We start from the raw sequence: 13,619 nt of genomic DNA, 5'->3' as shown, positions 1-13,619 counted from the left end.
CTTGCCTCTAGAATGGGACATGGGGCACCAAGGTGTGAGGAAAAGACCACTGGGTGATCTTGCTGTCTGAGGGGCTCCGTCCAAGCCCATCTTGGTCATTAATTCTGTGACTATAGGCAAGTCTACTGATCAAGTCTCTGGGTCCCCACCTGTAAAACGGAAAGAATAACTACTATGCTGTCTTCCTCACAGAAGTCTTTTCGGACAAATGTGAAGAACCTAGAACTTTGGGAATCTGGAACCTGCATCTCCCAGAATAGAAATCACACTTTTCATGCTCCTCACACAGGGGAAGAGGATGCCAAGGCTTTTCCACATCATTCCTTTGGAGTCAGAACTGAAATGTTCACAAGGAGAAAAGGGCAACTCCACCTCAGCAGAGGAACACAGCAGAAAATGGGTTTCTGACTGGCTGTTCCCTAGACATGCTTGTTTTGTCATCCTCATTCCCTGCCCCACTTGCGTGCCCGCCCCACCCCAATCAAAGTTCCTGTAGGAATACCTCAAAGATCCCTTGTCAACAGCCAGCTACCCATCAAGGCTACTTGATGATCAAATCAGCCTTTCTAGGCCTTTTCCTAAAGGATTTTAATCTCTGTCCTTGTTCTTCCCTGGATTTTTTTCCACCACTCTTTGGCTTAATAAATGCCTTTCCAGAAGGCTTCAGCGCGGCTGGAAGTATACTTGAACGGCAATTCTAAGTCCTTATTAGCTCTATAGTGATCAGGTGAAGGAATAATTGATCTCAATCAGGAACACCTGGTTTTATAATTGCACAAATGATTATAATTCAATAATAAAAGTCAATTTAACTAACTTAATTCAGATTGCTTTAACCTCTCGCAGACAGTTAAAAAATGAACAAGCAAACAGGAAAGGGAAAAGAAAAGAAAAAAAGAAAAACAAAGCTCTGTCTAAACTACCTGACCAAATAGGGCCAGAATGTAATTGATTCATTTTTCCCCTACATTAGGTAACATGAATTCTCTCTTCTGGGCCTGTGTTCATTAAAGTCTTTCTGTGTCGAATGTCCTTCTCTTCTCTCTGTACTTCCAAACTGTATTCCTTTTTTATGATCAGGCTGAAATACAACCTCCTTTACATTCCGTAGAAAGGTTCTGGGATGGTAGGAGTTGGAAAGACATTCACTTCCCCCATGGGGCTTGAGTGAGATCGGGCCCAAGGGGAAGAAAGTGATATCCATTAAGCAGCTATTATGAGTCAGTCAGACATTATTTCTGGCATTTCAGTCAGTCTTCACAGAGAAAATAGGAAACTGAGGCTAGGCAAGCTTAAGGATTTCCTCAAAGTTTCATAGCCAGATAATAGCAGAGATAGGACTTGAACCCAGGCCTTCCTGATTTCAGAGCCTGTGCTCTTTGCTCCCCACCATGACAGACAATCAGGGCATCCCAGGCCTTTCCAGGCTTTTGGACTTCGGCACGACTTCAGCTACCCTTTTGAGTTTCAGCTGCTGCCACTTGAGTCTGAACCATGAAGAATTTGGCCAAGAGGTTGCCAGTCAGATAAGGCTTTCTCTGTTGGCTTCCACCTCACGGCTATTTGCAGGGGGTGTTGTTAGGAGCCTCAAGAGGTGTGCATAGGGTAGAGGAGGATCTTAAGGATCTACCTCAGCGGTAGCTCTCCCCTGTCTCTCCAACCAAACATTCATTCATGGAGATCAAAGGAGAACATGAAATGCTGGTCTGTGTATCACTTCAACTTTGTGAATCCTAGAGACTGAGCTTCAAGGAGTATGGTCTTGAGATCATAAAGAATGCCTCAGGCTGAGGCTGGGAGATGGAGCAATGCCCCCAAACCAGTTGTTGCCTCTGTCTGCTTTCTGGGCGGGAAGGGAGAGAGGAAGACAGTGAGGGACCTCATTGATCCACCCTTCCATTTACTAAACATTCATGGAGTGCCTGGCAGCCCCTGTGCTGGGGATACTGAGCTGACTGCTGCTGCTGCTGCTGCTGCTATTACTACTACTACTACTGTTTGTTATGAATGATAATAATACCACCTGCCATTCATTAAGAATCAGATACTCTGATAAGGAGATATATGCATTAACCCATTTTCCTTTACAGCCTTCTAAAGTAGGTGCTAGCAGTAACCCCTTTCACAGATGGACAAATTGAGATTAAGAGAATTTAAGTAATTTACCCAGAGTTGCAGAATTTGATAGTGTTAGACAGAGTTAAGGTTTTAGCCCATGAATATGGCTTTAAAGTCTGTGCTTTTAACTTTTCCTCTGCAGAACATCTCTAGTTTGTCTCAAGGTATGGTCCCTGCTCTCAAGGGCTCATAACCTAGTGGGGGATATGGGTGTGCATATGAATCAAAGAATTCTGTATGAAAGGGCCAGTGGAGGCATACATGATCAATGATGGCAGAAATAGGGAGAAACATAATTAACATAATTCTACTGAGACTGGAGTTGGGAGATGATCCAACTGGGAAGACTTCCTGTAAGAGGTGATATTTGAGCTCACCCTTGAACATTCTAGGAAAGATGACAAACATACGTAGTCACAGGCCCAGACTGGGAGAAAGTCTGCAGTGTTCAGAAGCCCCCAGAAATCTGGTGCACTTGATGTGTAGAGCACTGGTGTATGTGCCAGGTGAAGTTGAGACGGCCTGGAGAGATGGACAGTATGTTGTCTTGGACAGTATTCTGCAAAAACAAAAATCCTGGAGAGTAATGAGTAAGGGATTAAAATAATGGACTATGTTTTATCTATGGCCGGAAAGGAGACTGGGCAGACCAGAGGGGAGGGGCTCATCCAGGGAGAAGTAAGAAAGGCCAGAGGGGAAAGAGTGCAGGCAGAGGGTCTCATTCTTTATCCCTGGACAGCTGGTCTGTCTCCATGTAGATGTCCCCTCCCTGGCCTTTAAAGGCTGAGTTCTCAGACAGACCCTGTGCGACACTCTGATACACTTTGACATGAGCTTATTGGCCAGTTTCTGAATATGACTTCTTTTTCTAGAACACATTGGCCCTCATGGATAGTGTTTCTTTTCAGAAGCTGTCACTATAAGCTGTGAAATCTCCTCCACTCCTCAGCTCTTCACTATCCTCCTTATTAAGAAATAATTTGGTTCCTCAAAAAACTAAAAATAGAACTACCATATGATATAGCAATCCCACTGCTGGGTATATATCCGAAAGAAAGGAAATCAGTATGTTGAAGTGATATCTGCATGCCCATGTTTATTGCAGCACTATTCACAATAGCCAAGATATGGAATCAACCTAAGTGTCCACCAATGGATGAATGAATAAATAAATGTGGTTTAAATACACAATGAGATACTATTCAGTCATAAAAATGTATGAAATCCTGTCATTTGCAGCAATGTGGATGGAACTGGAGAACGTTATGTTAAGTGAAAGCAGCCAGGCACAGAAAGACAAATATCTTATGTTCTCACTCATGTGTGGGAGCTAAAAAAGTGGATCTCAAGGAGGTAGAGAGTAGAATGATGGTTACCAGTGGCTGGGAAGGGTAGGGGAAGAAGGGGATGAGGAGAAGTTTGTTGATGGGTACAAAAATACAGTTAGAAGGAGTAAGTTCTAATTTCAACAGTACAATAGGGAGACCACAGCTTTATAGTTAACAATAATTTATTGCATATTTCTAAATAGCTACGAGAATTGGAACATTCCCAACACAAGAAAAGATAAATGTTTGAGGTGATGGATACCCTGATTACCTTGATTTCATCATTAAACATTGTGTACACTTATCAAAATATCACCCCTACCCCATAAATATGTACAACTATGTCAATAAAAAATAAAACATATACAGAAAAAGAAGTAACACATTAATTAATAACAATTAATATATTAAGTATAAAGCAGTAATTTATGTCCATGTATAATTATTAATTAAATAAAGTAATTTATATTAATTCATTGAAAATGCAGGTAAGGGGCCAGGCGCGGTGGCTCACACCTGTAATCCTAGCACTTTGGCAGGCCAAGGCTGGCGGATCACGAGGTCAGGAGATTGAGACCATCTTGGCCAACATGGTGAAACCCCATCTCTACTAAAAAAAAATACATAAATTAGCTGGGCCTGGTGGTGCATGCCTGTAATTCCAGCTACTCAGGGAGGCAGCAGAATCACTTGAACCAGGGAGTCGGAGGTTGCAGTGGGCTGAGATCGCACCACAGCACTCCAGCCTGGTGACAGAGTGAGACTCCATCTAAAAAAGAAAGAAAGAGAGAGAGAGAGAGACAAAGAAAGAAAGAAAGAGAGAGAGAGAGAGAGAGAGAAAGAAAGAAAGAAAGAAAGAAAGAAAGAAAGAAAGAAAGAAAGAAAGAGAAAGAAAGAAGAGAAAAAAAGAATAAAAAAAGAAAATGCAGGTAAGGAAGAATTTTTTTAAATTTCCTGGAAAGTCCGTTTCCCAGAAAAAAACATAGCCATTATTTTGGTGTTTGTTCATTCAGAAGTTGTCCGATGGTCATGTGAAGAGTGTGTATGGGCATACTTTTCTTTCACAAAAATGCAACAGTATTGCAATTCAGTTTGCAGCCTGCCTTTTTCACATGGCAATATATGATGAGCACCTTCCCATGGGATCACATGTAGAATGAATGGTTTCTAAACCTTTGCAAACCTCGAAATCTGCAGCATGGAAGCACATAGGTGATGAAGCATAGGAGATGGCAAGGATCATGGGAAGCAAGCCATAGTATTTGAGCCCTGGTTTTTCCTCCTAGAGCTGGGTGACCCCTCTGAACCTTACCATTTTTATCTATGAACTAGGGATGTTACCACACCCCTACCCAGCAGACCTCGCAGGTCTGGGGTGAGTATCTATGCAGTGGCAGACATAAAGTGGTAGACTCTTAATATATTATTCAAACATAAGAGATCTGTAAAGACTCTGTGCCCCAAATTCCCCTCCTTTTGCTACTGAGAGCTCTTAGATAACATCCCCAAAATCTGAAGATTCCAGGCTTATCCCTGGGGTACCTGCCAGCCAGTCTTCCTGGTTGGTAATAATGAAGTTCTAACATTGGAATGGGGAGGAATTAAATCAGCCTGTCTGACTTGTCTGGCTTGTTTTACCACAATATTTTCCAGTCTTTTGGCTACTATGGGGCCCATGTTCCAAGCAGGCTGGGCATCTTTCACAGCTCCCTCCTCACAGTGGATCTCATCACCCCACGTCTCTGCCAGCTAACCCTGCCAACTTGCTCTTACCTCTGTTGCCTCTTAGAGTTGGATGCTGTCTTCTCTTGCAACAGACCCCTAGAATGTCCTCAATCCTCTGCCCCACCTTCCTGGACTAAGACGACACCACATTTTGCCAGGAGAGGAGGTGGTGTGGCTTTCCAGGGCTTCTTCAGGGCTTCTGATGGTGACTTTCCAGAAAGGCCACCCCAGTGCCCCAGGGCACCCTCTGGTTCTACCCTGCCTCCTCCATATACCCAAAGTGGCATATGGACACTTCGTCGCCAGCAGTGAGGCCCTGAATGATGGCCACCCTCACTTCCCAGGATCCCATCACAGCTGAAGGAGCTGTGAATTGAATTCCAGGCTGTTCCTTCTCTCCCTCCAATCCATTCATTTGCAGTTCCCTCTTCCTGAATCATTCTTCCCCCACCCGACACCCACAACCCTTCCCCATTCCCCAGACTCCCCCTTCCTCATCCTTGAGAACTGAGCTCAGACTGTGGGGCCTTTCTCATCCTGCAGGGCTACTTTAGGTGCTTATAGCCTCAAAGCATCTAGTACTTCTAATTACCACAGCAAATTCTAATTTTCTATTAACTTGTCTCTAAATTATGAGTTCCTTGAGAAGGAGACTGTGTCTTATTTTCTGTTATTGCCTAGAGCTGAACACATAATAGGTGCTTAGTAAATATTTGTGGAATTAATGACTGAACAAACTTAGTATGTCTTAGTCTCACAAGGGTCACTTCAACCCCCTTTTGTGCTTCTGGAGAATTTTTTTGGTAATCTAGAAATCCATCCATCCTTTCTCCTGCAGCTGAGCTATGAGCAAAAAAATCAAGGTGGGCAGACCTGACACTAACCTGCACCTACCCATTTGCCCCTGTGGCCTTCCCCAGAGGAAAAGTCTGATCTGTGACTCACAAGGCCTTGGTCGCCTTCTCTGTTGACTTCCTGACCTATCCTCCCAAAAGCTGCCCGGCCCTCGTTAGTTTCCAAATGAAAATGAATTTTGTTAATGTCCTAAGAAGTTGCTAATATCCCTACATGTAAATAGAGATTTCTGCCCAGATTCTGTTTGGGTATCATCAAAGCTGAGATAGAAGTCACTGAGCTTACCTCATTCATGCATGCATTCTTTGATGCAGTACACATTTTCTGAGTTTCTATAATGCCCCAGGTACTGAGGTAGGTGCCAAGGATCCACATTCCACTGTAGATAGGCTCTCTGCTTTAACAGATCTCACTGTTAAAACAACTTCACCTAAAGCCATTTCTTCTGTTGGTGGATTTCTGTAATGGGCAGTTGGGCTAAAATTCAGCCCATTTGTGTGTTTTTGAAACTGTTTAGATGTCCTGTTCTTTTTGTGCTATCTTTTGGAAGTGGGGGGATTGAAAGATTTATTTTTGTAATGATTCATCTTAGAACTCTTCTTATATCAATTAAGATATACAATCTTTTAAAAATAAACTATGCAAATGTGTGGTAGATGCTCCTGACAGCAAAAACTTAGGCATATCCTGAGAATGACCTTATGGTCTATGAAGAATATGTTCAAAGCTCCAAGCTAAGGAATCTGGGAGTGGCCAACCTGGAGATTCATTTCTTATCTATGAGGAATATCTGAACCTCCGGCCCATTCCATGGAACACAGACCATACAGGGGATTGAGGCCCTTTATTTTGGGTTAAATGAAGTTGTCAGGTGGTGGTTGTTAGGGGGAGGATGCTCATTGAAAATGCTGTGTAAATGGCATGCTTTTTACAAGCAGCAATGGTTCTTTTGTCCAACCTGCCACCACTGGCAGGGGACCGCCCTGTATGTAAGTCCTTTTAATAAATCCTATGTCTCATTGGCTGGCTCCATGTCTCTTCTTCAGCCTCTCGAACATAGTGTCATCCCTACTGAAGTCAATAGGGATTCAGCACAACAGCAAATCAGACTGATGTTCAAAGATTGGAGTTTGTGGTACCAATGGGCTTTCAGTGCCTTTTCAATCCAGTTGCTGGATTCCACTGGCACGAGGAATTCATCTGTGGTTGAAGGGAGGGGTGGTTTTGGAGGGAGTATGCAAAGATGAGAAATGGTTTCCCCTCCTGCAGACCTGAGAGATGGATCCTGAAGGGAAGGTACAGACTAAAAGTTAACGGACCATGTTCATAAAAAAGTGGAAGGCTCTCATCTCATACAGAGCCCACCCTGGAGCTGGGATGAGCCTGCTCACCTCCCTTTCTGTACCAGAGGCCGAGTGTGGTTTTAGCCACACTTTAGGGGGACACATGTCCTTCAGAGGAACTATGTGGAAGGAGAATGTGAGAGGAACCCTGGAGGAAAGGCTGAAAGTGATGCATTACGGAGCAGAGGTGAGGCAGCCCTGTGGACAAGTTGAAACAGCTGGGGGAGGGGCTGCCAAGGTCCTCCGGTTATCCAGGTTGAGGCTGAAGGCTAGCAAGACTTGGGCATCAGTGTCACTGGAATTTTACTTGTGTTCCCAAGATGCTAAGGCCTGAGCATGTTTGGGTTATAAGACGCCCCCAAGAATATAAAACAACCCTATGCACACCAAAATGAATCTTATAGGAAATATAAAATTAAATTTTAAGCTTCCATTGTTAAATTAAGGAAAAGATCATCTTTACAATGTCAAAAAGAAAAAAAAATGAAGCCATGGATGGATTAATAGGCAAATGGATTGTTAAGCGAACTGGTTTTAGGCAACAGATCTTTAGGTGAAGTGATGGAGCTGCTGTTTGCCCTTGATTGCAGTCCTGAGACCACAGCTCCCCCTCTGTTGAGGCTCTTGAACAGGGCTGACTGGTTGCTCCCATGTGAACTCTGCATTGCCAAGGAGAGGAGGCCCAGCCACTTCTGGCAACACTCTGGGCTGGGGCAGGGCAGCCTCCCCCATGATGGCAGAGAGCAAACAAAGGTAGCCACGCTAAGGCTGGGGCACAAAGGGCTGTGTTCCCAATGTGGCCCCTGGACACTGGCCAACCCTCCTTGTCCTCTAGGACTCAGGTCAGAGGCGCAGTATTGCAGGCTGGGAGAGAATGTCTCTGCTCCTAGGAACCTTGGCCTGGGGATCATCAAAACCTCAAGCTGTAAATACCCTTAGGAATTATCTAGTCCAACTGCCTCATTTCCCAGAGCAGTTGCTGGGGCCCAGAGAATGGAAGGAATTTGTTCACTGTCACCGGGAATGCTAGTGACGCAGGCTTCCCCGGCTGGGTTCAGTGTACCACACTGAACCCTGACAAGGGACCCTGGGTTTCCATTTGGTTTATCACGAAAATCAAAATAATTGCATCACTCAGTATTTTCCAGTTACTGGAAAAGTCTAACTTTGTTAAATTCACGAAGCATAAACATTTGCTAATCAAAGTACTTACCCAAATGATACTCAATTAAAGCAATATTAAGGGAAACAAAATGTGTACATGCTACTGACCACCTACGCAGGATTTATATCACATTCCCTTAAATGAGCGTTAAATCAATGGCAGTTCTTACTGGCTGGGACTTGAACAGCAGGGAGTTAGCTGGAGCCTTTAGGAGGATTTGACAGGCAGAGGGAAAGGTGCACCACTGTCAGGAGCCAGGAACTCCAGCTCCTCCCTTGGCTCTGCCACTCCAGGGCCCAATGACCTGAGGCAAGTCCCCAGCCTCTCTGAGCTTCAATATCTTCAGCCTTGAAATGATGCTTGAAATGATGCTCCCCGCCCAGCCTGCCCACCAGGGTTATTGCAAGGACAACATGAGGTGGTCCCTTGAAAATTGTGATGTTTAATGCAAATCAATGTTTTCCAGATGCTCTCAAGCTGGGCCAGTGGCCAACTGCAGAACGGAGAGTGGCCGAGCAGGGAAGGTCATAGAAGGCACAGGATGGGGAAGGACACTGGAGACCAGGTTCCTGTAGGGTAAGTTGTAATCACTGGAACCACTGAGCCTGGAGAAGGTGAGATCTTTCCGAAGGGAACGGAAAGTGGAGTCAGTTGGATCTGGGATATCTGGGTCTTCCCGGCCACGTGGCCTTGGGCAAGTCATGTGAGTTCTCTGGGCATGTAAAATGAAGATGAAAATATGCATTTTGCAAGGCTATCATAAATATTAGTAGTAATAATAACAGGCAGATACTGAGTGCTTATCATATCTTAGATACTATTCCAGGTGCTAAGTCTGTACTAACTCATCTAAACCTCACAACATCCCCGAGTCCGATGTCATCCCTATCCCCATTTTACTGATGAGAAAATGTAGGTAAAAAGAGGTTCAATAACTTGCTCAAGGTCATATGGCTACAACATGTTAGAACCAGACTTGGCACTTAGGCCTCTGGCCCCAGAACCTATATATTTAACCTCTCTGCAGGCCATATTAATGTCCTGTGGCTATTGTAACAAATTACCACAAGCTTCGTGGCTTAAAACAACACAGATTTATAAGCTTACAATTCTGGAGATTAGAAGTCCTAAATCTAAGGTGCTAGCAGGGCTGCATTCCTTTTGGAGACTCCAGGGAGAATCTGTTTCCTTGTCTTTTCCAGCTTCCAGAGACCACCTGCATTTGTTGGTTGATAGCCTCTTCCTCGAATCACCCTGATCCTCTGCTTCTGTGGCCACATTTTCATCTCTCCAAATCTGAGTCTTCTGCCTGTCTCCTCTAGGGACCCTTGAGATGACTTTGGGCCCATCCAGATCATCCAAGATAATCTCCCCTTCTCAAGTTTCTTAATCACTTCGGCAAGGTCTTTTTTGCCACATAAAGTAATATTTGCACTGGGTTCAGGAATCAGGATGTGGGCATCTTTGTGGGGGGAGTCACTATTCCACCTACCACACAGAGCCCCTTCAACAAGTGAGATTAGATGAGAAAATGTTGGTGAAGCACTGAGCCCAGAGATAGAGCATAGTAGGTGTGGATGCTGGTGATAGTGAAGGGGTGAATGGCTGACAAAGACCAGGTGACTAATTTCACAGCTGCCAGAAATCAGCCTCCAGGGACACACAAGGAGCTTTGCCACACGCTGAATCAGATAAGGCCTCTGACTTTGTTTTGCCCCAGAAGCAGACCTCAAGAAGAGGACTCCAGTGCAAGTAGTTTATTTAGAAGGCAAGCCCACAAAAAGTGGGAAAGCGAGACAGGCAAGGCAAGGCAAGGAAACCAATGGAGAATGCCATGAAGCTAGTTACCACCATAGGCAGGTGGAGCTTAATCCCACTGGGGAATTGTGGAAAACAGTGTGGAGCTCTGCACCTCAGAGTTAACCTACCTGAGAGGTGACAGGGCTGGGGTATGGATGCACCAATTCCCTTCAGTCTGTTGCAAGTTGTTCCAGGGAGGGGGAGAGTGGAGTTAATTCACCTACACACCCATCTGCACACACATATATAAAGCAGGCTCTGCTATTTACAATAGCAAAGACTTGGAACCAACCCAAATGCCCATCAATGATAGACTGGATAAAGAAAAGGTGGCACATATACACCATGGAATACTATGCAGCCATAAAAAAGAATGAGTTCATGTCCTTTGCGGGGACATGAATGAAGTTGGAAATCATCATCCTCAGCAAACTAACACAGGAACATAAAACCAAACACTGCATGTTCTCACTCATAAGTGGGAGCTGAACAATGATAACACATGGACATAGGGAGGGGAATATCACACACTGAAGCCTGTCAGGGGGTGGGAGGAAAGGGAAGGGAGAGCATTAGGACAAATACCTAATGCATGCAGGCCTTAAAACCTAGATGATTGGTTGAAAGGTGCAGCAAACCACCATGGCACATGTATACCTATGTAACAAACCTGCACATTCAGCACATGTATCCCAGAACTTAAAGTAAAATAAAATAAGTAATGATAGAAAAAAAATTAAAAAGTAAAGCAGGCTCTGATGGCCAGAGAATGCCTACCTGCAAATATCCATAGGTGCTGGCAACTGGAAGTCTGGCTGCGTGCACTGAAATGGCAAAGATAGGGGTGCTGCGGCCAGGTACTGGTGGTGTCTGCTACCCCACCTTGAGCCTATAGTCTTCATTTCTTGTGGACACTATCCACAGGCCAAGATAATGCAGAAAGATGAGAAAATCAAGGAGTCAGCGTCTGCCCAAAGTGAAGGTAAGAGGATGGCTTGGAATTCACAGCTGGCAACTGAAGCTGTTGAAAGACATCACCTTAATGTTGCTCTCCAGGGCTTGCAGCCCTCTTAGGACAGGTGCTGTCTGCAGGGCGGCCTTGCGGTGACAGTGGTCGCCCCGCTGAATCCCCAATGCTGTCTTATATTGCCACTTTCCTGGGAGGCTGTCATCCATCTCTGATTTAGACTACCCCGAGGTCTTACGGTTAAGCTGTTGAGTAGGTTTTGTCATTCTGTATTATTTTCCTTTGTACTTTTTGTTCAGGAAGGTTCCTGGCTGTCTTTGGTGTAGTTTGTATCATATCTTCCAATAAAATAAACACATCTCTCTATAACCTGCCATCCATGCATCGTCACCCCTCTTCCTTTCCTCACCCCGGTGCAATCTGGCTTTTCCCCTGCCTCTCTGGGGAAATGGCTCTCCCTAAGGTCACCAATGGATTCCAAATTCCCAAACCTAATGGAATGTCTTAGTCAAGCTCCAGTCAGCTTTTGATGCTGTCAAATGCTGCAGTGCTGGCTGGTGTTTCCCCCCATTCTCCCTCCTTGAGGCTCTGTATTTCCTGGGTTTCCATGCATGACACTTCACTGGTTTGCTGGCTGCTAGACTATTTCTGTCCCCTTCACTGAGTTATCTTCCTTTGGTTGTCACTTAATGTCAGTTCCCATGGGGTTTCAGCATTGTCTCTCTTCTCTTCTCCCACTTCGCACTCTCCTGGGGTGATCTCAGCCAAATCCACAGATTCAGTGGCTATTCACCTACAATGCCCAGATCCCCAGCTGTCCCCCAAGCCACCCTCCTGACACCTAGATCCAAATGGTCCTCCCCCCCTCGCAGGTCAGTTCCACATAAATGTCACATTCAACAGGCTCAAATCTGACCTCATCTTCCTGGGAAAACCAGCTCTTCCTCCCGCATGGCCCATCTGGGTGAATGGTACCCTCCCATCCCCATCGTTGTCAAGCCATATTGGGGCCTCATCCTAAGTCCTACCTCTCCTTCATCTGCCACATCAAGTCCCTTATCAGTCATATCTTTGTTATTTCCCCTTAACCAGCTCCCACCTGTCCTCTGCTGCCCAGGTCTCTCATCTGTGGTTCAGGCCTCCACTGGCCAGGGCAAGAGTTTCCCAGCGTGTTCTTCTGTAGCTGGGATCAGCCAGGATCATCTAATCACAATCCTGTCATTTTACAGGGCCAGAAATTTGCCTGCTGAGGGGAAGGTGCAGGCTGGGTACCCAGGCCTCCTGGCCCATGATGAAATGGAGGTTGAAGCCAGACAGGCCTGCGCGCAAAGCCTCCCTCCCCTCTGTGCCAACCTGTGTTAGTTTCCAGTTGTTGCTATAACAAATTACCACCAACTGGCCTAACACAACACACATTTATTATCTTACAGCTCTGGAGCTCAAAAGTCCAAAATGGGTCTTACAGGATTAAAATCAAGCTGCCAGTGGGGCTGGTTCCTTGACGGGGCTCGAGGAGGAAACATGCTTTCTTGCCTTTTCCAGCTCCTAGAGGCTGCCTGCATTCCTTGGCTGGTGGCCCCTCCCACTCCAGTATCACCCCAACCTCTGCTTCCATTGTCGTGTCTGTTTCTCTGACTCTGGCCCTCCTGCCTTGCTCTTGAAAGGATCCTTGGATTACATTGGGCCCACCCAAACAATCCATGAAAACCTCCTCATCTGAGGATCCTTAACTCAGTCACCCCTGCAAAGTCCCTTTTTAAATAAGTTTTTGGGATTAGAATGTGGACATTTTAGGGGGATCATTATTCAGCCTACCCTCCTAGCTGTGCCCCCTAAGAAAGTTGCTTAACCTCTCTGAGGTTCTGGTCTCTCATCTATAGAATGGGAGTAATTTTTTCCACCCACAGAGATAGAGTGAGGAACAAAGAAGAGAATACATCTCATGTCCCAGCCTCTTCCTCCCAGTCCTCATTGGTGCTAGCTAGGATAGGATCAGGATCCAGCTATCCTCCCTACAACTTCCAAGTTTCAGGAATCTTCTCTAAAACTTCAACTGTCATTTGTCATAGGAAAGAGATGCCATGCTAGTCTGAATCTACTGGGACAGCTCTGTATCTGAGGCCTGGGTGCAAGGCAACTTGGCTGCTGAATTAGGGAAGAGATAAAAGAAGAATAAGAATGGTCTGTCTTATTTTTTTAAGTTGTAAGAACATATTTAATGAAATAATGAATAATGATATTTTGGCTCTAATATTATGAAAATTTAAACTTTGATTATGCATAGCAAATACTTTTATTTATCCATTTTGTAAGAACAA

General features: G+C 45.0%; 1 long non-coding RNA gene across 2 annotated transcripts in view; it reads left to right on the top strand.

The window, feature by feature from the left end:
• Positions 1-13,619, top strand: part of LOC107987011 (uncharacterized) — a 71,633-nt gene that overhangs the window by 51,624 nt on the left and 6,390 nt on the right. For both annotated transcript variants that reach the window (XR_001746548.2, XR_007061697.1), the window contains one exon: positions 9,001-13,482. This is a non-coding gene — a long non-coding RNA (uncharacterized LOC107987011). The remainder of the gene's footprint in view (positions 1-9,000; positions 13,483-13,619) is intronic.

Source organism: Homo sapiens, chromosome 9 (genome assembly GCF_000001405.40).
Source record: "Homo sapiens chromosome 9, GRCh38.p14 Primary Assembly".
NCBI classification, from domain to species: domain Eukaryota; kingdom Metazoa; phylum Chordata; class Mammalia; order Primates; family Hominidae; genus Homo; species Homo sapiens.
Note: the sequence above shows the minus strand (reverse complement) of the source record. Positions and strands in the feature narration are given on the sequence as shown.